General features: G+C 42.7%; 1 protein-coding gene and 1 pseudogene across 5 annotated transcripts; both read left to right on the forward strand.

Annotated features, from left to right (window-relative positions):
* Window positions 217-23,332, forward strand: ZNF534 (zinc finger protein 534). 5 transcript variants are annotated; one of them, NM_001291368.4, is made up of 5 exons: window positions 217-313; window positions 2,477-2,558; window positions 5,024-5,150; window positions 6,150-6,278; window positions 22,256-23,332. In NM_001291368.4, the coding sequence occupies exons 2-5, from the start codon at window positions 2,544-2,546 to the stop codon at window positions 22,564-22,566; spliced, it is 582 nt and encodes a 193-aa protein (NP_001278297.1). In that variant the 5' UTR covers window positions 217-313; window positions 2,477-2,543; the 3' UTR covers window positions 22,567-23,332. The 5 variants fall into 5 exon arrangements, with proteins under 5 accessions (NP_001278297.1, NP_001137411.1, NP_001137410.1 ...); NM_001143939.3 differs by lacking the exon at window positions 22,256-23,332 and adding an exon at window positions 8,801-13,568 and having other exon boundaries at window positions 5,024-5,189; NM_001143938.3 differs by lacking the exon at window positions 22,256-23,332 and adding an exon at window positions 8,801-13,568.
* On the forward strand, window positions 22,275-23,357 carry LOC441862 (DUT pseudogene; annotated as a pseudogene).

The raw sequence follows: 23,435 nt of genomic DNA on the forward strand, positions 1-23,435 counted from the left end.
GATCTAATCTAATCACCAACCGATTTTGCTCTGCCCCAGCAAGATCTGTTTACAGATCTGTTTACAGAAGTGCTGAGCAGATCTCGCCTCCAAAACCCTAAAACAGGATCGCTGAGTCAGACTGACAGAAGCATAGACCCCGCCTTGAGCCCGCCCTGTCCCGGCCCTGCCCTCGGCCCCGGGCCCGGCCTGTACGATGCGCGCGCAATTTCCTGCAGACCCGGAAGTCGAGATCATGGAGTGAACGTTTCGCGCGCTTTTTCCTGTAGACCCGGCACCCGACTGCGCGGAAAGACTGTCTAAGCCGCCACTCGTGAGTTTGCCTTTGTCTAGATTAAATTTAGGCTGCCCAGTTCCTGTGTGCTTCTACACCCGCGATCTGAGGGCTCATGCAGACCTTGAAGTCCCGGCACCGCTCTATCCACTCCAAGTAAATTCAGACATTCTCTAGAGAGTCTGGAGGTCGCTTACCTGCGTGTTAAAACCGCTTGGAGGCTTCTAGGCCGGGCGCGGTGCCTCACGCCTGTAATCCTGGCACTTTGCTATTTTTTTTTCATTTTTTGTAATTATTCAGTCTAGTTGATTGAATCCATTGATGTGTACCCCAGAGATACCAAGGGCTGACTTTAGACTGTATCTGCTCGTTAGTCACTTAATAGTCTTTTTTTTTTTTTTTTTCCTGAGACTGAGTTTTGCTCTTGTTGCCCAGGCTGGAGTGCAATGGCGTGATCTCGGCTCACTGCAAACTCCGCCTCCCGGATTCAAGCGATTCTCCCGCCTGGGCCTCCCGAGTAGCTGGGATTACAGGCATACGCCACCATGCCTCTCTAATTTTGTATTTTTAGTAGAGATGGGGTTTCACCATGTTGGCCAGGCTGGTCTCGAACTCCTGACCTCAGGTGATCTGCCCGCCTCATCCTTTCAAAGTGCTGGGATTACAGGCATGAGCCACCGTACTTGGCCAATAGTCTTTTGGATGAGATCCACTTTTATGGTATCTCAGTGCTTTTTTTTCATGTAACCCTTTTTTTTTTCCCTTAACAATGCCCTCCAGGCACATGAGTATTGATTGATGCTGACAATTTTTTTTTTGGGTTTTTTTGAGACAGAGTCTCACTCTGACGCCAAGGCTGGAGTGCAGTGGCACTGTGTTGGCTGACTGCAACCTCTGTCTCCTGGGTTCAAGCAATTCTCCTGCCTCAGTCTCCCGAGTAGCTGGGATTACAGGTGTCCACCACCACGGCCGGCTAGTTTTTATATTTTTAGTACAGACAGGGTTTGACCATGTTGGCCAGGCTGGTCTTGAACTCCTGACCTCAGGTGATCCACCTGCCTCGGCCTCCCAAAGTGCTGGGATTACAGGCGTGAGCCACTGCGCCCGGCCTTGATGCTGACAATTTGGATATGCCAGTGAGAAGCTGTAACATGGAGTCTTTAAGGGGAATTAATAGGGTTTAGTACTGATGGAGGTTTCAGGCATCCATTGGGGCTCTTGGAACATAGTGCACATCGATAAAAGGATTCTACTATAGTCTATATCTAGAATTGAGCACTGTGATCCACAGAGGGCTGAGGGGCCTGTGCTCTGCATGAGCTTTGGTCAGGGTGAGGTCTGTGCTTTTTTTTTGTTTTTTTTTGAGATAGAGTCGCACTCTGTCACCCAGGCTGGAGTGCAGTGTTAAAATCTTGGCTCACTGCAACCTCTGTCTCCTGGGTTCAAGCAATTCTCCTGCCTCAGCCTCCTAAGAGCTGGGATTATAGGTGCCTGCCATTACCCAGCTAAATTTTGTATTTTTAGGAGAGACGGGGTTTCACCATCTTGGCCAGGCTGATCTTGAACTCCTGACCTCGTGATCGACCTGCCTTGGCCTCTCAAAGTGCTGGGATTACAGGCGTGAACCACCACACATGGCCTTTTTTTTTTCTTTTTCTTTTTTAAGATGGAGTTTCACCCTGTCACCCAGGCTGGAGTGCAATGGTGCGATCTCGGCTCACTGCAACCTCTGCCTCCCAAGTTCAAGGGATTCTCCTGCCTCAGCTTCCTGAGTAGCTGGGATTACAGGCCCGTGTCACCACGCCCAGCTAATTTTTTGTATCCTTAGTAGAGACGAGGGTTTCATTATGTTGGCCAGGCTGGTCTCAAACTCCTGACCTCATGATCTGCCCACCTCGGCCTCCCAAAGTGCTAGGATTATAGGTGGGAGCCACCGCACCCGGCCAAGTCTGTGCTTTTAAGGGGAGCTTAGTCAAGCCCAGCTCTGCACTGCTGCAGTGTGTGTGTCGCTCACCATGAGACAGGAGAGAGTTTTGAGGAAGGGAGTAAAAAACTCACTTGTTGATTTTCCTGTGGGAGATCAACAGTAGGCAGCAGAGGACCATCCTTCCAGAAGGTGAAGTCTTCCCTTTTTGTGTGGCTGTGGCACAGGAAGTGGGTGTGTTGATTCTAAGCCCTAAACAGCATTATTTTTGATACTAGGATTCACTTTCAAAGAGACATATTATGCAAGGAAGCAACTCGGAAGAGGAAAGAAAGGAAGTCAGGAATGGCCCTTACTCAGGTAAGGTAATGTTCTCAGTGGATTGTTCTGTCTCTGTTTCTTCCTGAAATGCCAGGCATTGGAGTTGCTAATCTCTGACTCTGAAGCATCCTGCCTGACTCATTTCATTGCACTTACCCATGGCTTCTTCCAGTCCCTTTCACTTCCACTTAAGATTCCAGTTCCCTATGACCCAATGACATGAACTTGGGAAGAGGTTCCACTGGGCATGGTCCTGGGAAGTGCTCACACCCAGACACGGATGGAGATGGGGTGTGGGCCTTGTGGTGTCAGTGCTGTTGGGCAGCAGGGATTGTTCAGGGGCCACATCTGGATGCACTGTGAGTGTTCTGTGGACTAAGACTAGAGAAGCTGCATGTGGAATTCCTTTTTTTTTTTTTTTGAGACAGAGTCTCGCACTGTTGCCCAGGCTGGAGTGTGGTTTTGTGATCTCGGCCATATAAATGTATATGTGTACTAGTGTATATGAGTGTTAGTATATATATGTGTAAGTGTGTACATGTGATGTGTTTGCATGAGTGCACAGATGAGCAAACCTATAGTTTTTATAAATAGCATGTCATCATTATATATATATATATTTTTATCAGTTGAAATTACATCTATTTATCAGGATGTTCAAATTTTTCTACATTATCATGTATGATGATATGAGGCATCATACCTGATAGTGGCTATAAGAGGCAATGAGGCAATGGCTATAAGAACATTATAGTAATGTATTATGGGGATATCGATTATATATATGCATATATAATGAACTATTAGGCAATTCCATGTTTTTAATCCTTGAAGTTGTTTTAAATTTACTGAATTAGGTAACTGTCAATTTACTTTTGATGCTGATCTGTTACTTAACTGTCTGATTCTTTAGGTTTGATTCTCATGCTCAGACACCTGTGATCTGCTGCTTACTCTGCTGTTTCAGTTCTCACACCTGGGGCAAGCTAGCGTGTATGTGAAAGAGTTGTCTTTTTAGTAAGATAGGAGCAGATTATTCTTTCATTGGCTTTTGTTGCTGTACCAGTTAGTTCATGTAAATCATTGAGAATAGTGCCTATCACATGGGAAGTGTTCTATTCAGCCATTGCTGTTGTTATCATCGCAGTTTTCAGATTTTCACCATTTTTTATTTATTTTATTTATTTATTTATTTTTTTTGAGACAGGGTCTCGCCCTGTCACCCAGGCTGGAGTGCAATGATGCAATCTCGGCTCACTGCAACCTCTGCCTCCTGGCTTCAAGCCATTCTCCTGCCTCAGCCTCCTGAGTAGCTGGGATTACAGGTGCACACCTCCATGCCCAGCTCATTTTTTGTATTTAGTAGAGATGGGGTTTCACCATGTTAGCCAGTCTGGTCTCGAACTCCTTACCTCATGATCCACCTGCCTCGGCCTCCCAAAGTGCTGGGATTACAGGTGTGAGCCACTGCGCCCGGCCCAGATTTTGACCATTTTTAAAAACCACTATAGGTCGGATGTGGTAGCTCATGCCTGTAATCCCAGCATTTTTGGAGGCTGAGGTGGGAGGATCACTTGAGCTTAGGCCTTTGAGACAAGCTTGGACAATGTGGTGAGACTCTATCTCTACAAAACATACAAAAATTAGCTGGGCATAGTGGTGTGAGCCTGTAGTCCCAGCTACTCGGGAGGCTTAAGAGGATCACTTGAGCCTGGGAGGCAGAGGTTGCAGTGGGTGGATATCACACCCCTGCACTCCAGTCTGGGAAACAGTAAGATCCTATCTCAAAAAAAAAAAAAAAAAAAAAAAAGAAAGAAAGCACTGTAGACATTGTCATCTCTGAAGACACTACTTGTATCTCAGGTAGATACTAAATGTCACTTGATGTGTCAAAAATAAAACCTAACATTTCTTTCTCTTTTTGGGGGGGGGAGGGGACGGAGTCTCACTCTGTCACCCAGGCTGGAGTGCAGTGGCGCAATCTCAGCTCACTGCAATGTCCCACTCCTGGGTTCACACCATTCTCCTGCCTCAGCCTCCTGAGTAGCTGGGACTACAGACCCCCACCACCGCGCCTGGCTAATTTTTTGTATTTTTAGTAGAGATGGGGTTTCACCGTGTTGGCCAAGATGGTCTTGATCTCCTGACCTCGTGATCCGACCGCCTTGGCCTCCCAAAATGCTGGGATTACAGGCATGAGCCGCCGTGCCCGGCAGTAATACCTAACATTTCTATACAGATAACCCTGGTTTAATTTTTTGTTTGTATTGCTTGTATTATCCACAAAATGAGACATCTACTCTGATTTAAAGAATGTCATCACTCCTTATGGAAAAGTATAATAAAACACAATCACAGACACATAACTAGCTCAAGAATCCTTTAATGTGGATTTGGCGCAGTGCTCGCTTCAGTGGAGTGAGTCCTTACAACTGTCTTCTCATTCTGTTTGAAGATAAGTACTCTCTCCATACCCTGTTTTTGAAATGTGGATTTCCTTTTAGGGGCAATTGTCATTCAGCGATGTGGCCATAGAATTCTCTCAGGAGGAGTGGAAATGCCTGGACCCTGGGCAGAAAGCTTTATACAGGGACGTGATGTTAGAGAACTACAGGAACCTGGTCTCCCTAGGTGAGGATAATGTCCGTCCAGAAGCCTGCATCTGCTCTGGTATATCTTTTTGCATTTTCTCTTGTGTGTCTCTCGGGAGCCCCTGCATTGCTTGACTGAGATTGAAACCTGTTGACTAAGAAATGAAAAGCAGGCCAGGCGCAGTGGCTCACGCCTGTAATCCCAGCACTTTGGGAGGCCGAGGCAAATGGTTCACGAGGTCAGGAGATCGAGACCACGGTGAAACCCCATCTCTACTAAAGATACAAAAAAGGGTGCCTGTAGTCCCAGCTACTCGGGAGGCTGAGACAGGAGAATGGCGTGAACCCGGGAGGCGGAGCTTGCAGTGAGCCAAGATCGCACCACTGCACTCCAGCCTGGGTGACAGATCAAGACTCCGTCTCAAAAAAAAAAAAAAAAAAAAAAGAAATGAAAAGCATTATGCTTTCTGAACTTGAAATGTCCCCTTACACCAGCCTGACCAACCTGGTGAAACCCCATCCATACTAAAAATACAAAGATTAGTTAGGCATGGTGGTACATGCCTGTAGTCCCAGCTACTCGGGAGACTGAGGCAGGAGAATCACTTGAACCTGGGAGGCAGGGGCTGCAGTGAGCTGAGATCATGCCACTGCACTCAAGCCTGGGCAACAGAGTGAGACTCTGTCTCAAAAAAAAAAAAAAAGAAAGAAATGTCCCCTTTCTTCAGATATTCTGCTTCCTTCATGATTCATCATTGATGGCACCAGGGCTGAAGTGTGCATGAAACCTTATGACAGACTTAAAAAATATCCAGTTCCCTGTTTTCTACCCATGTGCTTTTGATTCAGTAGTTCTTGAAAGGGGGCTTGACGTCTACATGTTACAATGTTCCCTTAGCATTCAGAAGGATGCAATCAGTGGTTGAATTTGTGAAATATTATTCTTGATTAATTTGTAATATGCTGTCTCCTACCTAAATATAGGGCTTGGACTTTGGAGATGCCACAGCACACATTTATTCTTTCTTTTTGTAAGTAGGAATCTGTCTTCCTGACCTGAGTGTTACCTCCATGTTGGAGCAAAAGAGAGATCCCTGGACTCTGCAGAGTGAAGTGAAAATAATAAACAATCCAGATGGCAGGGAGTGCATCAAAGGTGTGAACACAGGTGAGAGCTCAGGTGGGCAGAGTGGAGGCCCCATAATTTTTGTATTTTGAGAAGGGTCTCACTCTGTCATCCAGGCTGGAGTACAGTGGCAATCATAGCTCACAGCAGCCTTAAACTCCTGGACTTAAGGGATCCTTCTGGCTTGGTCTTCCAAAGTGTTGGGATTACAGGCTTGAGCCACTATACTCTGCAGAGCCACACTATTACATAGTGTTTGGGAAACTCTGCAAGTGGGTGAATTCTGTGGGAAAACCAAAGCTGAAATCCTTTGAGTTGTGAACAGACATTTTTCATTTTCTTTTTTCTGTTTTGAGATAGCGTCTCTCTCCTGTCACCCAGGCTGGAGTGCAGTGGCATGATTATGGCTGGCTGCAGCCTCACCTTCTGGGGCTCACGTGATTCTCCCACCTCAGCCTTCTGAATAGCTGGGACTCTGTGTGTACACCACCATGCCTATCTAGTTTTTTGTATTTTTAGTAGAGATGGAGTATTGCCATATTACCCAGGCTGTACTTGAACTCCTGACCTCAAGTGATCCACCCACCTCAGCCTCCCAAAGTGCTGGGATTACAGGCATGAGCCACTGTGCCCAGCCTCACATAATGATTTTTGAGTTCTAATTAACTTTCTCAGTTCTTCTTTATCTAGGAAAGCCTGAATTATTTTTGTAGATGAGTTTTACTAAATATAGTATTCTTCATTGATGTTTTTCTTATTTTTCTTCTTCTTCTTTTTTTTTTTTTTTTTGAGACCGTCTCACTCTGTCACCCAGGCTGGAGTACAGTGGCATGATCTTGGCTCACTGCAAGCTCTGCCTCCTGGGTTCACGCCATTCTTCTGCTTCAACCTCCCAAGTAGCTGGGACTACAGGCTCCCGCCACCATGCCTGGCTAATTTTTTTTGTATTTTTAGTAGAGACGGGGTTTCACCGTGTTAGCCAGGATGTTCTCAATCTCCTGACCTCATGATCCACACACCTCAGCCTCCCAAAGTTCTGGGATTACAAGCATGAGTCACCGTGCCCGGCCCTTATTTTTCTTTAAGCACTTTCAGTATCACTTCACTGCCTTCTACCCTGAAGATACCTGCTGGAAAAATACACATAGACTTATACAGTTTCCTATTATATGTCAAGTCTCTTTTTTTGTTGATGCTATCAAACTTTGTCTCTGTCTCTCTTTGACTTTTGATAATTTCCTTATATTATGTCCCTGTGTGAATGTCTTTGGGCTAATTTTAGTAATGGTCAAGCTTCTTGAATTTGTATATTCAGTTCTTTCCTCAGATGTGTGATGTTTTAACATTATTTCTTCAGTTGTGGCTTTTCATCCTTTGTCATCTTCATATGAACCTCCAATAGTTTGTATATTGTTCCACCTTATAGTCTCTCAAAAATGTATTAGGGTTTGTAAGGTTTTCTTCATCATGTTTTCTTTGTGGTCTTTGGAACTGATACTTTTGAATAACTTATCTTTCAGTTTGCTCATTGTTTTCCTTTCCTTTTGCTGTCTGCTGTTAAACCCCCTAATGGATTTTTACATCAGTTACTGTATTTCAGCTCCAGAATTTCTGTTCTCTTGTTTTTAATGATTTCCCCTGTGTTTGTTATCCTCATTCTTTTCACATACTGTTTTTCTGATTTTATTTAGTTTTCTATTTCTGTTATCTTTTAGTTTGGTGTCTGGAGTTTTATTTATTTATTTATTTGTTATTCTTCTAGCCATATTTTCTCATCTTTTCATAGGCCTTGTATGGTAGTTTTTGGTTTAGGTTTGGTAAAACAACCACTTTTTTCAGTTATTTTTTATAATGCGCAGTGGGAGACCTTAGTTGCTGTAAGGGTGTGGGAACACTCCATTCTTTTCTGGGATGTATCTTTCCTGACTTTGTGAAAGTACTATTACAAATATCTACATTGCTGCTCTTAAATATCTTATTTTCCTTAAGAGGCTTATCCCTGCTTTTTCACAGAAGCTGTTAGTTACTCTTGTATTTGTCAGCTTATAATCTCTCTCAAGCTTTCCCTTAATTCCCCTGACTCCTGCAGATTCCAGATTCTTCAGTAAATCACCTCACTCCCTTGTGTTTTCTGCATTACCAACATGTTATACAAAGTATGCTGATACTGGCCAGGCACAGTGGCTCATGCCTGTATTCCCAGCGCTTTGGGCGGCTGAGGCAGGTGGATCACAAGGTCAGGAGTTTGAGACCAGCCTGGCCAACATAGTGAAACCCCGTCTCTACTAAAAATAAAAAAAGTTAGCCAGGCATGGTGGCAGGCACCTGTAATCCTAGCTACTTGGGAGGGAGAATTGCTTAAACCCAGGAGGCAGAGGTAGTAGTGAACTGCAATCACACCATTGCACTCCAGCCTGGGTGACAATGTGAGACTCCATCTCAATAAAAACAAAGTATGCTGATAATTTCAATGTCTGAGTGAAGTGATGCAGAATCTTGTTTTCTGTCAGACTTTAAACATGCCAGAATCGGGATTAAGTTCTAAAATTTTCTTGCTTTTCTAGAGAAGAGTTCTAAATTGGGAAGCAGTGCAGGAAACAAGTCACTTAAAAATCAACATGGATTAACTCTTCAGTTACATCTGACTGAATGGCAGCCATTTCAAGCTGTAAGGAATATTTATGGATGTAAGCATGTTGAGAAATCTATCAGTGACAATTCTTCAGTTTCACCAGTTCAAATAAGTTTTTTCAGTGTCAAAACCCATATTTTTAATAACTACAGAAATGATTTTCTTTTTTCTACATTACTCCCACAAGAACAGAAAGTACACATTAGGGAAAAGCCTTATGGATGTAATGAGCATGGGAAAGTCTTCAGAGTGTCTTCAAGCCTTACTAACCGTCAAGTAATCCACATTGCAGATAAAACTTACAAATGTAGTGACTGTGGCGAGATCTTTAGTAGCAATTCAAACTTTGCACAACATCAACGAATCCATACTGGAGAGAAGCCTTACAAATATAATGAATGTGGCAAAGTCTTCAATCAGAATTCACACCTTGCACAACATCAGAAAATTCATACTGGACAGAAACCTTACAATAACAAAGAATGTGGGAAAGTCTTTAGTCACCATGCCTACCTTGCACAGCATAGGAAAATTCATACTGGAGAGAAGCCTTACAAATGTAGTGAATGTGGCAAAGCATTTAGTGTGTGTTCCAGTCTTACTGCTCATCTTGTAATCCATACTGGAGAGAAACCTTATGATTGTAAGGAATGTGGCAAGGTCTTCAGGCATAAGTCTTCCCTAACCACTCATCAGACAGTTCATACTGGAGAGAGACCATACAAATGTAATGAATGTGGCAAGGGGTTTAGTCGAATTGCATTCCTTGCAAGGCATCGGAAAGTTCATACTGGAGAGAAACCTTACAAATGTAATGAGTGTGGCAAGGTCTTTATTGGCAATTCACGCCTTGCACGACATAGGAAAATTCATACTGGGGGGAGGCGTTACAAATGTAATGAATGTGGCAAAGCATTTAGAACGTGTTCAGATCTCACTGCCCATCTTCTAATCCATACTGGAGAGAAACCTTACGAATGTATAGACTGTGGCAAGGTCTTCAGGCACAAGTCTTCCCTAACCTATCACTGTAGAATTCATACTGGAGAGAAGCCTTACAAATGTAACGAATGTGGCAAGGTCTTCAGTCAGAATTCAAACCTTCAACGACATAGGAAAATTCATACTGGAGAGAAGCTTTACAAATGTAATGAATGTGGCAAGGTCTTCCGTCAGAATTCACACCTTGCACAACATAGGGATATTCATACTGGAGAGAAGCCTTACAGTTGTAATGAATGTGGCAAGGTCTTCCGTCGGAATTCACACCTTGTGCGACATAGGAATGTTCATACTGGAGAAAAGCCTTACAGTTGTAATGAATGTGGCAAGGTCTTCAGTCGGAATTCACACCTTGCGCGACATAGGAATATTCATACTGGAGAGAAGCCTCACAGTTGTAATGAATGTGGCAAGGTCTTCAGTCGGAATTCACACCTTGCGCGACATAGGAAAATTCATACTGGAGAGAAGCTTTACAAATGTAATGAATGTAGCAAGGTCTTCAGTCGGAATTCACGCCTTGCACAACATAGGAATATTCATACTGGAGTGAAGCCTTACAGTTGTAATGAATGTGGCAAGGTCTTTAGTAAAAATTCCATCCTAGTACAACATTGCAGTATTCATACCAGAGAGAAGCCTTAAAAATTTAGTGAAGCTGGCAGGGCGCAGTGGCTCACGTCTGTAATCCCAGCACTTTGGGAGTCCGAGGCAGGTGGATCATGAGGTCAGGAGATTGAGACCATCCTGGCTAACACGGTGAAACCCCATCTCTACTAAAAATACAAAAAAAAAAAAAAAAAAAAAATTAGCTGGGTGTGGTGGCAGGCACCTGTAGTCCCAGCTACTCAGGAGGCTGAGGCAGGAGGATGGCATGAACCTGGGAGGCAGAGCCTCCAGTGAGCCGAGTGAGCCACTGCACTCCAGCCTAGGTGACAGAGTGAAACTCCATCTCAAAAAAAGAAAAAAAAAAAATGAGTGAAGCTGCCAAGCATGGTGGCTCACGCCTTTAATCCCAGTACTTTGGGAGGCCAAGGTGGCCAGATCACCTGAGGTTAGAAGTTCGAGACCAGCCTGACCAACATGGAGAAACCCCATCTCTACTAAAAATACAAAATTAGCTGACTGAGGTGGCAGGCACTTGTGATCCCAGCTACTCAGGAGGCTGAGGCAGGAGAATTGCTTGAACCTGGGAGGCAGAGGTTGTGATGAGCCGAGATTGCAACATTGCACTCCAGCTTGGGCAAGAGGAGCAAAACTCTTTCTTTAAAAACAAAACAAAAAAAGTTATGAAGCCTCACAAAAGTAATAAATATGGCAAAGAATTTCATATGAAATCATGCCTCTCTACCCATCTATTAATCCATACTGGAAGGAAACCATAGAAATATAAAGAATACAAGAAGGTCTTCAGGCACATGTTTTCCCTAACCTCTCATCAAGAGAATTCACACTGGTGATTGACTTTAAACATATAACAAGTGTGGCAACGTATTCACTTAAAATACACACCTTGTAAACTATCACAGAATCCATACTGGAGAGAAACCTTACAAATGAATGACAGCATCTTCAAATAAAATGCACATCTGGCACAACATTGGAAAATTCATACTGTAGATACCTTTTAAATGTAGCAAATATGGCAAAGTCAAAGTCACAATTCACATCTTGCACATCAAATAATTCATACTGGAGGCTGGGTGCGGTGGCTCACGCCTGTAATCCCAGCACTTTGGGAGGCTGAGGCAGACGGATCAGTTGAGGTCAGGAGTTTGAGACCAGCCTGACCAATGTGTTGAAACCCCATCACTACTAAAAATAAAAAAAATAGCTGGGTGTGGTGGTGGGTGTCTGTAATCCCAGCTACTCAGGAGGCTGAGGCAGGAGAATCACTTAAACCCAGGAGATGGAGGTTGCAGTGAGCCAAGAATGCGCTACTACACTCCAGCCTGTGTGACAGTGAGATTCTGTCTCAAAAAAAAAAAAAAGAATTCATACTGGAAGGAAGCGTTACAAATGTAATGAATGCGGCAGAGCATTGAGAAGGTGTTCAGGTCTTAACTGTTCATTTTGTAATCCATAGTGGAGATAAGTCTTTTTTTTTTTTTTCCCCCGAAACAAGAGTCTCGCTCTGATGCCCAGGCTGGAGTGCAGTGGTGTAATCTCAGCTCACTGCAACCGCCACCTCCTAGGTTCAAGCAATTCTCCTGCCTCTACCTCCCGAGTAGCTAGGACTACAAGCACATGATGCCATCATGCCTGGCTAATTTTTTGTATTTTTAGTAGAGACGGGGTTTCACCATGTTAGCCAGGCTGGTCTCGATCTCCTGACCTTGTGATCCATCTGCCTTGGCCTCCCAAAGTGCTGGGATTACAGGCATGAGCTGCTGCACCCAGCTTGAGAAATCATATGAATATATGGAATGTACTCCAGGCATGGTGGCTCACACCTATAATCCCAGCCCTTTGGGAGGCCAAGGTGAGAGGATTGCTTGAACCCAGGAGTTTGAGACCAACCTGGGTAACATAAGGACAACTCCATCTCTACAAATAATAAAAAATTAGCCAGGTGTGTTGGTATATGCATGTATTCCCAGCTACTTGGGAGGCTGAGGCAGAAGGATCATTTGAGCCTAGGAGCTTGAGGCTGCAGTGAGTCATGTTTGCAGTACTGCACTCCAGCCTGGGTGACAGAGTGAGACCCTATCTACAAATATAAACAAACAATGTGAAACGTCTTCAGTCACAAGTATTCCCTAACAAATCACTATAGAATTCATACTGCAGAGAAGCCTTACAAATGCAGCGAATGTGACAAAGCATTTAGATAATGTTCAGGCTTTACTGCCCATCTTGTAATCCATACTGCAGACAAACCTTACAACTGTAATGAATGTGGCAAGGTCTCAAATTGAAATTCACATCTTGCGAATCACCACATAGAGAGAAACCTTACAAATACAAATCACCACATAGAGAGAAACCTTACAAATACAAATCACCACATAATGGAGAGAAACCTTACAAATGCAACATATGTGGTAAAATGTTTTAGTCACAATTCACACCTTGGACAGCATCAGATAATTTATTCATGAAAGAGTCCTTACAAGCTGTGTACGGAAAGCTCGTCATGAGTTTTAGCATTAATGAACATCAGAGGTTCCATACTAAGGAGAAATCATATAAATGTAATGTATGTGGCACAGGCTTTCCTGAGGCCTGCCAAATCACTAGAAATCAAAATATACTTTTGGATAAAACGACACAGATGGATTGTATATGCTGAGGATATCCAAGGACCATTACTATAGAACATGAAAAGGATTTAATTATTGTTTTCTTTTTTCCTAAAAGTGTTGGGAACAGGCCACCAAAACTGGCCATAAACAAAATCTCTGTAGGACTGTGACATGTTCTTGATGGGCATGACACCCATGCTGAAGGTCGTTGGTTTACCAGAATGATGGCAAAGAACACCTGGCCCACCCAGGGCAGAAAAACCGCTTAAGGCGTTCCAGAACCACAAATAATAGCATGTGCATTCTGTGCCTTAAGGACATGTTCATGCTGCAGATAACTAACCAGAGCCCATCCCTTTGTTTCCCATAAGGAATGCTTTTATGTAATCTATAATCAATAGAAACAATGCTTATCACTGGCTTGCTCTCAATAAATATGTGGGTCAAACTCTGTTCATGGCTCTCAGCTCTGAAGGCTGTCAGTCCCCTGATTTTCCACTCCACACTATATTTCTGTGTGTGTGTCTTTAATTCCTCTAGCACCGCTGGGTTAGGGTCCCCATGACTGAGCTGGTCTCAGCAGAAAGCTACTTTCCTCTTTATAACTTTCAACCTGAACTTTGAGATCTTGACATATACCTCCTCCTACAGGCCTTTCACTGTGGTCTCTGGGAAAGAATCAAGTGAAAGAATCAATAGGATGACAGGGCTGATTTCATTAGCTGAGGATCACTTCTATTCAGCTTCCTGGAAGAAGAACACTGTCTTTTTATATTAAATATTGTCTGATTTAGACAGCATGGACATGGGTAGAGAATAACATAAAATGATGACTGCTTGAAGCAGTCACGCTTATTCTTTTCTTGAGTACTGCCCACTCTTTTCTTGACAAGGATGCAGTACTTCTGTGCTCTAATAAATAACTGTAAAATAGAGCATGCCATTAAAGGCATGGCATTTTTATGGGAAGAGAATAATTGTTGTTAGGTATTGATTACGTGGTAGCAATCATGGAGGGGAAGGGGTGGTCACCTCCTCAATTGAATAGCAATAGTTCCTGTTTAGCAAAGATGGAAAACAGTAGTCTTATTTTTGAAATGGAAGAGAAAACATGCATTTTCTCTTAAGTCTGAGCACACAGAATGGGAATGTTGTTAATTTTCGATAACCTGATGACAGTGTGCCTAGGTGATTATCTTTTTGCGATGAATTTCTCATGTATTCTTTGAGCTTCTTATGTTTGGATGTCTAGGTCTCTAGCAAGCCTGGGAAAGTTTTCCTCAGTTATTACCCTAAATATGTTTTCTAAACTTTTAGATTTCTCATCTTCCTCAGGAATGCCAATTATTCTTAGGTTTCATCGTTTAACATAATCCGAGACTTCTTGGAGACTTTGTTCATATTTTCTTATTTTTTCTTTGTCTTTGTTGGATTGAGTTAATTCAGAAACCTCATCTTACGTTGGGAGGCTGAGGTGGGCATATCACCAGGTCAGGAGTTCAAGACCAGCCTGGCCAATATGGCGAAACCCCATCTATACTAAAAATACAAAAATTAGTTGGGCATGGTGGTGAGTGCCTATAGCCCCAGCTACTCAGGAGGCTGAGGCAGAAGAATTGCTTGAACCTGGGAGGCAGAGGTTGCAGTGAGCCGAGATTGCGCCATTGCACTCCAGCCTGGGTGATGTAGTGAGACTCCATCTCAAAAACAAACAAAAAAAATCACCTTGTCTTTGAGCTCTGAAATTCTTTCTTCTGCTTGTTTAATTCTATTGCTGAGACTTTCCAGAGCATATTGCATTTCTGTAAGTGCATCCATTGTTTCCTGAGGTTTTTGTTTTTTATTTATGCTATTTATTTAACTGAAATTTCTCCCCTCATTTATTGTATCATTTTATTTCTCTAGTGCCTCCTTGATTAGCTTAATAACTGACCTTCTGAATTATTTTTCAGGTAAATCAGGGATTTCTTCTTGGTTTGTATCCATTGCTAGTGAGCTACTGTGATTTTTTGGGGGATGTTAGAAAACCTTGTTTTGTTATATTACCAGAGTTAGCTTTCTGGTTCCTTCTCATTTGGGTAGGCTGTCAGAGGGCAGGTCTAGGGCTTAAGGATGTTGTTCAGATTCTTGTCCCATGGGGTATTCCCTTGATGTAGTACTCTCCCCCTTTTCCTAGGGATGTGGCTTCCTGAGAGCTGAGCTGTAGTGATTGTTATCTCCCATCTGGATGATCTAGCCACCCAGCAGGTCTGCCAGGCTCCAGGCTGGTACTGGGGGTTGTCTGCACAGAGTCCTGTGATACGAACTGTCTATGAGTCTCTCAGCTGTGGACACCAGGACCTGCTCCAGTGTAGGTGGCAGGGGGACGAAATGGAATCTGTGAGGGTCCTGAGTTTTGGTTGTTTAAAGTACTATTTTTGTGCTGGTTGGCCTCCTGCTAGGAGGTGGTGCTTTCAAGAGAGCATCAGCTGTGGTAGTATGGGGAGGATTAGGTGGGGGCAGGGCACTAGAACTCCCAAGAGTATATGCCCTTTGTCTTCAGTTACCAGGGTGGGTAAGGAAGGACCATCAGTTGGGGGCAGGGCTAGGTGTGTCTGAGCTCAGACTCTCCTTGGCAGGTCTTGGTACTGCTGCTGTGGGGGATGGGGTTGTGGTTCCCAGGTCAATGGAGTTATGTTTCTAAGAGGATTATGGCTGCCTCTGCAGTGTCATGCAGATTGTCAGGGAAGTGAGGGAAAGCCGGTAGTCATAGGCCTCACCCAGCTCCTGTACAACCCAAAAGGCCAGTCTCACTCCCACCGTGCCCCCATGTCCCAACAGCAGGAAGTCTGTTTCCAGGCAGTGGGCAAGCAGGGCTGAGAACTTGCCCCAGGCTACCAGCCTCCCAACTACAAAAGCAAGTAAGGCTTTCGTGCCTCCCAGCCTGTGGAGTCTGCACACTGGATTCACGCTCTTCCATGAGTTTTGGCCAGGAGACTTCTCATTCAGTTGGAATTGTTACAAAGTTCAACTGGAGGTTTCCTTCTCCCTGTGGCCTTTTCCCAGTGCCTCTTGCAGCCTTCCCCCAGGACCCCTGTGAGGCAAGGCAGAAAATGGCTTGCTAGGGGACCCAGAGAGCTTTTCCCGCTACCCTTGTTTTTCACTCAGCTAATTTTTTTTTTTTTTTTTGAGACAGAGTCTTGCTCTGTCACCCAGGCTGGAGTGCAGTGGTGCAGTCTCCGATCACTGCAACCTCCAACTCCAGTGCTCAAGCGATTCTCCTGCCTCATCCTCCTGACTAGCTGGGATTACAAGCACATGCCACCATGCCTGGCTAATTTTTGTATTTTTTGTAGAGACGGGGTTTCACCATGTTGGCCAGGCTGGTCTCGAACTCCTGACCTCAAGTGATCCACCTGCCTCAGCCTCCCAAGATGCTGGGATTATAGGTGTGAGCCATAGCACCCAGCCTCAGTTCTCTAAATTGACTGAGTTCCAGGTAAGGTCAGAATCTTCTCCCATGATCTAGACCTTCAGGTTTGCCAGTGACGGTTTGTGTTCTTGGCAGACAATCTTCCTTTCCCACTTACACAGTTTGGGCACTCACAGTATTTGGGGTGTCTCCTGGGTCCTGCGGGAGCAAGAGCAACCAACTTCCTTCAGAGGTCCTGTGGGTTTTCTTGGCTTCCTAATTTACTCTTGCAGTCATTCTGGAGCAAAAATTCATGATGCAGGACTCCACACACTACTGTCCATCTGAGTGGAAGCTGCAAGTTAGTCCTGCCCTGCCATCTGCCATGATCCTCTGAAAACAAGAATTTTTCTTATATTTTTCCTTCCACACATTGTAATCCTTATTATATGTATAATTTCCATTTCTTACCTGTGTTACTCCTCTGAAAAACACAGGGAATATATAAATGAAAGTTTTCTTTTGAGACAAAATTTTGTGACATGAAAATGCACATAACACAATAACTGATATGAACTAGGTTCTGTATAATTATGAAAAAGAAGTGTTCCTTTAAATCTTTAATTCAATGGAGGTACCAAGTTGATATAAGATGGTCAACTAAAATCTCTTAATGTGGGTGCTTGCTCTCTTCAGGTGCTTGAAATCAAGTGTGTCTCCAGCATTTGTTGAAGTAAATGAAAATATAATGATAAATAACAGAAAAAGTCATCCCCCACCACATGCCAATTACAGTTTGTGACAAGGAGATTATCTCCATGCTCAATCTCAAGGCCATTCTGCCTCTTCTCACTGGATGATATTCCTATTCCCACCAGAGGATATTACAGGGAAACATGACATTAGTGCCACTATTACCATGGAAACTGACACCCAACATTCTCCCTTCAGATTTGTCCCCACCTAAAAAAGAGATTTTTGTATGTCAACGGTGCATCCTGAGACCCTGAAATTTCACTCACTCTAGAGATTTTTTATACTTTTTGGGCTTTTCTACATACATCATTTTATTGGTTCCCTATTGCTGCTATAACAAATTACCATAAAGTGAGTGCTTTAAAAAAAATCCCACAAATTTGGCTGAGTGTGGTGGCTCGTGCCTGTAACCCCAGCACTTTGGGAGGCTGAAGCAGGAGAATCATTTGAGCTCAGGCCTTCAAGACCAGCCTGGGCAACATAGCAAGACCTCATCTCTACTAAAAATTATAAAATTAGCTGACTGTAGTAGTACATGCCTGATGTCTCAGCTATTCAGGTGGCTGAGGTGGGAGGATCGCTTGAGCAAGGGAGATGGAGGCTGCAGTGAGCTATGATTGCACCATTGTACTCCAGACTGGGTGACAGAGCAAGATCCTGTCTCACACACAGACGTACAATTTATTGTCTTATAGTTCTGGATGTCAGAAGCCTAATATAGATCTGCAATGCTGTGATTGTTCTTCAATCTTGAGGAAAGAATTTGTTTTCTAACCCTTCCTTGGTTGCAGAGACTGCATCTCTCCTTGCCACATGGTCCACTTCCTCCACCTTCAATGTCAGTTGCAGATCATCTTATATCTTTATCTCTGTCCTGATGTTTTCACCATATCACCAACTACTAAGTGACTCTAACTCCACCTGCATCTTTCTTATACTGACCCTTGTGATGATATCACCTTTATAAGAAAAACCAGGACAAAATGTCATCTCAAGATCCTTAACTAGATGACATTTGTGAACCCTCTTTTGACACATAAAGTAACCCAGATCATGTTGATCAGGACATGGACATCATTTGGGAGAACATTATTCATCCTATTATAACTAATATATTCTGTTAATGGCTATACTATTTTATCCTCCTTTCTGGTCTCTTACATTTGTTTTTATTTCTTTATTTCACTGGGTACAATTTCTAATGGTATGGCAAAAAGAGTGGACATACTTGTTTCATTCTCAACCTCTGTGTTGAAGCATTCAGTTTTGTTTTTTGTTTTTCTTTTTGTTTTAACACTAACAGTGACATTTTCCCTAAGGTATGTAGGTGTTCTTCAGGAAGATGAAAAAGTTTTGCTCTATTATCAGTTTTGAAAGTCAGACCATAGACAAGTGTTGAATTTTGTTGTGTTTTTTTCTGCCTCTATTGATAGAGTCCTATGATTTTTTAAATCTTTTTATCATGTTAATATCGTGGATTACATTGATCAAATTTTATTTTTTTCTTCTCATAACGCAGTGTAGTAGACAGAACACTGATTGAATTTTAAATGATTAAACAGCCTTCCATCCTCAAATAAACCCCATTAAATCATGGAGTACAAATCTTTTTATATATTGTTGATTTCTATTGCTAATATTTTCTTAAGAATTTTGCGATTTTTTTCATGTGAAATTTAGTTTTTAGACTTTTTTTTTTTTCTAATTCCTTTGCCTAGTTTTGGCAAACCATAATAATGGTTTCATAAATTAAGTTGGGAAGTAGTCCCTCCTCTTCTGCCTTCTGGGACAAATTGTATATAATTGCTGTTAATACTTCTTTACAGGTTTAATAGAATTGTTTAGGGTTAGGCTGAGATGGGAGGATTTCTTAAGGCTAGGAGTTTGAGACTAGTCTGAGCAACATAGCGTGACCTCATCTCTAAAAAGAAAAATTTTTTGGCCAGGCGCAGTGGCTCACACCTGTAATCCCAGCACTTTGGAAGGCCGAGGTGGGCTGATCACTTGAGGTCAGGATTTGAAACCAGCCTGGTCAACATGGTGAAACCCCATCTCTACTAAAAATACAAAACAATTAGCCTGTAATCCCAGCTACTTGGGAGGCTGAGGCAGGAGAAGTGCTTGAACCTAGGAGTTGGAGGTTGCAGTGAGCCAAGATCACACCACTGCACTCCAGCCTGGGCAATAGAGCAAGACTCCGTCTCAAAAAAAAAAAATTATTTTTTAAAATTAGCCCGGCATGGTGTTCCATCTACTTGTGAATGTGAGGCTGAGTTGAGTAGACTTATTAAGCCCAGCAGTTTGAGGATACAGTGAGCTATGATTGTGCCACTGAGCTCCAACCTGGATGACAGAGTGAGACCTCATCTCTACAAAAATAAAAACAATTGTCTAGTGTTACCATCTGTGCCTGAAAATTGCATTATTTGGGCATTATTTGGGAGAATGTTTTATATAATCAGGTAAGAACACAACGTGAGCTCTAGTCTCTTAACTTTTTAAGTGTACAATTCAGTAGTGTTATTCAACCTTAAAATCATTCTTTTAACATTTTCAATGGTATTTATTTATATGGTACATGTGATATTTTGATACACACATAAAATAGATAATGATCAAATCAGGATAATTTAAATATCCATCACCTCAAACATTTATTTCTTTCTCTTGACGACCTTTCAACTCTTCTAGCTACTTTGAAATATACAATAAATTATTGTTCACTATAGTCACCCTACTATGTTACTGGAGATGACAACTTATTCCTTCTGGTTTTTTTTGGTACCCATTAACCTACTTCTTTTCATGCCTGTGCTAACCTCCCCACTCTCTGGTAATGAGCATTCTACTCTCTACCTCCATGAGATTAACTTTTTTAGCTCCCACATACGAGTGAGAGTATGAGATAATTGTCTTTTCTGTACGTGGTTTATTTTATTTAACATAATGACCTCCACTTTGACCCATGTTGCTGCCGCAAATGACAAGATTTTATTCTTTTTAAAGGATGAACAGTATACCATTGTCTATATATACATTTTCTTTATCCATTTGTTCGTGATGAAAATGTAAGTTGATCCCATATCTTGGCTATTGAGAACAGTGCTACAGTAAACATGGGTGTGCAGATATCACTTTGATATCCGGATTTCCATCCTCATTCTCTCTCTCTCTCTCTCTCTCTTTCTCTCTTTCCAACAGTGGAATTGCTGGATCATATGGTAGTTCTGTTTGTAGTTTATTGAAGAACATCCATACTATTTTCCATAATGGCTATACTAATTTGCATTCTCACCAACCAGTGTACTAGCATTTTCTTCCTTTGCATATTCACCAGCATTTGTTATTTTTTTTTGTATTTTTGATGATAGCCATTCTAACTGAGATGACATTATATCTCACTGTGGTTTTGATTTGCATTTACCTGATGATTAGTGATGTTGAGCATTTTTTCATAGGCCTGTTGGTCGTTTGTATGTCTCCTTTTGAGAAATGTCTTTTCAGATAGTTGGTCCATTTTTTAATTGGCTTTAAAAATTTGTTTGTGGCCAGGTGTGGTGGCTCACACCTGTAATCCCAGCACTTTGGGAGGCTGAAGCAGGTGGATCACGAGGTCAGGAGTTGAAGCCTAGCCTGGCCAAGGTGGTGAAACGCTGTCTCTACTAAAAATACAAAAGTTAGCCAGGCGTGGTGGTGTGTGCTTGTAATCCCAGCTACTTGGGAGGCTGAGGCATGAGAATTGCTTGAACCCGGGAAGGCAGACGTTGCAGTGAGCCAAGATCGCACCACTGCACTCCGGCCTGGGCTACAGAGTGAGACTCCGTCTAAAAAAAAAAATTGCTATCGTGATGTTTGAGTTTCTTATATATTCAACTTATTAATTCCTTGTCAAAAGGATAGACTGTAAATATTTTCTCTAATTCTGTCACTTGTCTCTTCACTATGTTGACTGTTTCCTGTGCTGTGCAGAATCTTTTTAGTTTAATATAATCCAATTTGTCTATTTTTGCCCTTGTTGCCTGTGTTTTTGAGGTCTTACCTAAAAAATCTTTGCCCAGATCAATGCCCTGAAGAGTTTTCCTATTGTTTTCTTATAGTTTTATAGTTTCAGATCTTCCATTTATGTCAAACCATTCTGATTTTATTTTTGTGTATGGTGAGAAATAGGGGTCTAGTTTTATTTTTCTGCATATGGGGATCCAGTTTTCCAGCACCATTTATTGAAGACTGTCTTTTTTCCCAATGTATATTCTTTGTCAAAAATCAGCTGGCTGCAAAGATGTGGGTTTCTTTGTTCTCTATTCTGTTCTGTTGCTCTATGTGTCTATTTTTATCCCAGTAGCAAGCTGTTTTGGATACCATTACTTTCTAGTATATTTTGAAGTCAGGTAGTGTAATACCCCTCAGTTTGGTTCTTTTTGCTCAGAATTGCTTTGGCTTTTTTGGATCTTCCGTAGTTCCCTATGAATTTTAGGAGTTTTTTTTTTTTTTGTTTTTGTTTTTGTTTTTTTTTTTTAGACAAGGTCTCTATTGCCCAGGTTGGAGTGCAGTAGTGCGATTTCAGCTCACTGCAACCTCTGCCTCCCAGGCTCAAGCGATTCACCTGCCTCAGTCTCCTGAGTAGCTAGGACCACAGGTGCATGCCACCGCACCTGGCTAATTTTTGTATTTTTTGTAGGGATGGGTTTTGCCATGTTGCCCAGGTTGGTCTCAAATTCCTGAGCTCAGGTGATCCGCCCATCTTGGCCTCCCAAAGTGCTGGAATTACAGGCACAAGCCACCTCACCCAGCCGTAGGATTCATTTTTTTCTATTTCTGTGAATAATGTCTTTTGATATTTTGAAAGAGAATGTGTTGAATATGTACATTGCGTTTGGTAGTATGATCATATACACAATATTAATTTTTTCCCACCCATAAAGATGGGTAGCCTTTACTTTTTTGTGTAACCTTTCCACTTCTTTCATCACTGTTTATAATTTTCTACCCATAGATTTTTCACTTCTGGCCTGGGACGCGCGCGTCTTCAGGGTGGAAGCCTGGCGCGCGTCCGGAGGTGCTGAGGAGCCAACCGGCCCAAACTTTGTGGGAAATGACTCCCCTCTGCCCTCGCCCCTCGCTCTGCTACCATTTCCTTCCGTTTCTGCTTCGCTTGGCGATGCAAAACGCGCGAGGCTCACGGCAGAGGGCCGAGGCCACGGGACTCTCAGGGCCGGGCCCGCCCCTCGGCCGCGCAGTGCGGCGCCGCACGCCCCGGACGCTGTCCAGCGTTGGCCGCCTGAGCAGAGGCTGCCGCGGAGCTAAGACACCCGCCGTTTCACCCAGCCAGCGGGCCCAGCCCGCGGAGGAGGGCGGCATGCAGCTCCGCGTTGCCTGGCTCTCCGGGCACGCGGGCTACGATCTGTACAGTGCCTGTGATTACACACCACCACCTATGGAGAAGGCTCTTGTGAAAACGGACATTCAGACAGCGCTTCCTTCTGGATGTTATGGAGAGTAGCTCCAAGGTCTGGCTTGGCTGCAAAACACTTTGTTGATGTAGGAGCTGGTATCACAGATGAAGATTATAGAGGAAATGTTGGTGTTGTACTCTTTAATTTTTGCAAAGAAAAGTTTGAAGTCAAAAAAAGGTGATCGAATTGCACAGCTCATTTGTGAACGGATTTTTTAATCCAGAAATAGAAGAAGTTCAAGCTTTGGATGACACCAAAAGGGGATCAGGAGGTTTTGGCTCTACCGGAAAGAATTAAAATTTATGCCAAGAACAGAAAACGAGAAGTCATACCTTTTTCTTAAAAACAAAGAGTTTTTGCTTAAAGTGTTTTGGTGTTTTACACTTCTGTAAACTTACTAGCTTTACCTTCTAAAAGTACTGCATTTTTTTTTTATGATCAAAGAAGAGATCATTTAAAAAAAGCATTTCTTTGTGTTTGGATCACAAAGAAACTTTGTTTTTCTGCAGTTGATGGTTATTTGTAAATCTACTTTGTGGTGACCTGATGTAAACAGTGTCTTCTTAAATGTACATCAATTACAGATTAAAAAAAAAATCCTGTATTATTTAACTCAAGAAATGATACCCCTTCAGCAACTTAAAAAAAAAAGTTTGTTTTTGTTTTGTGCGTGTGTGTGTTTTCTTTTTTTTGTTTTGTTTTTTTGGAGACGGAATTTCA

The sequence above is a fragment of the Homo sapiens genome, chromosome 19, assembly GCF_000001405.40.
Source record: "Homo sapiens chromosome 19, GRCh38.p14 Primary Assembly".
Classification (NCBI taxonomy): domain Eukaryota; kingdom Metazoa; phylum Chordata; class Mammalia; order Primates; family Hominidae; genus Homo; species Homo sapiens.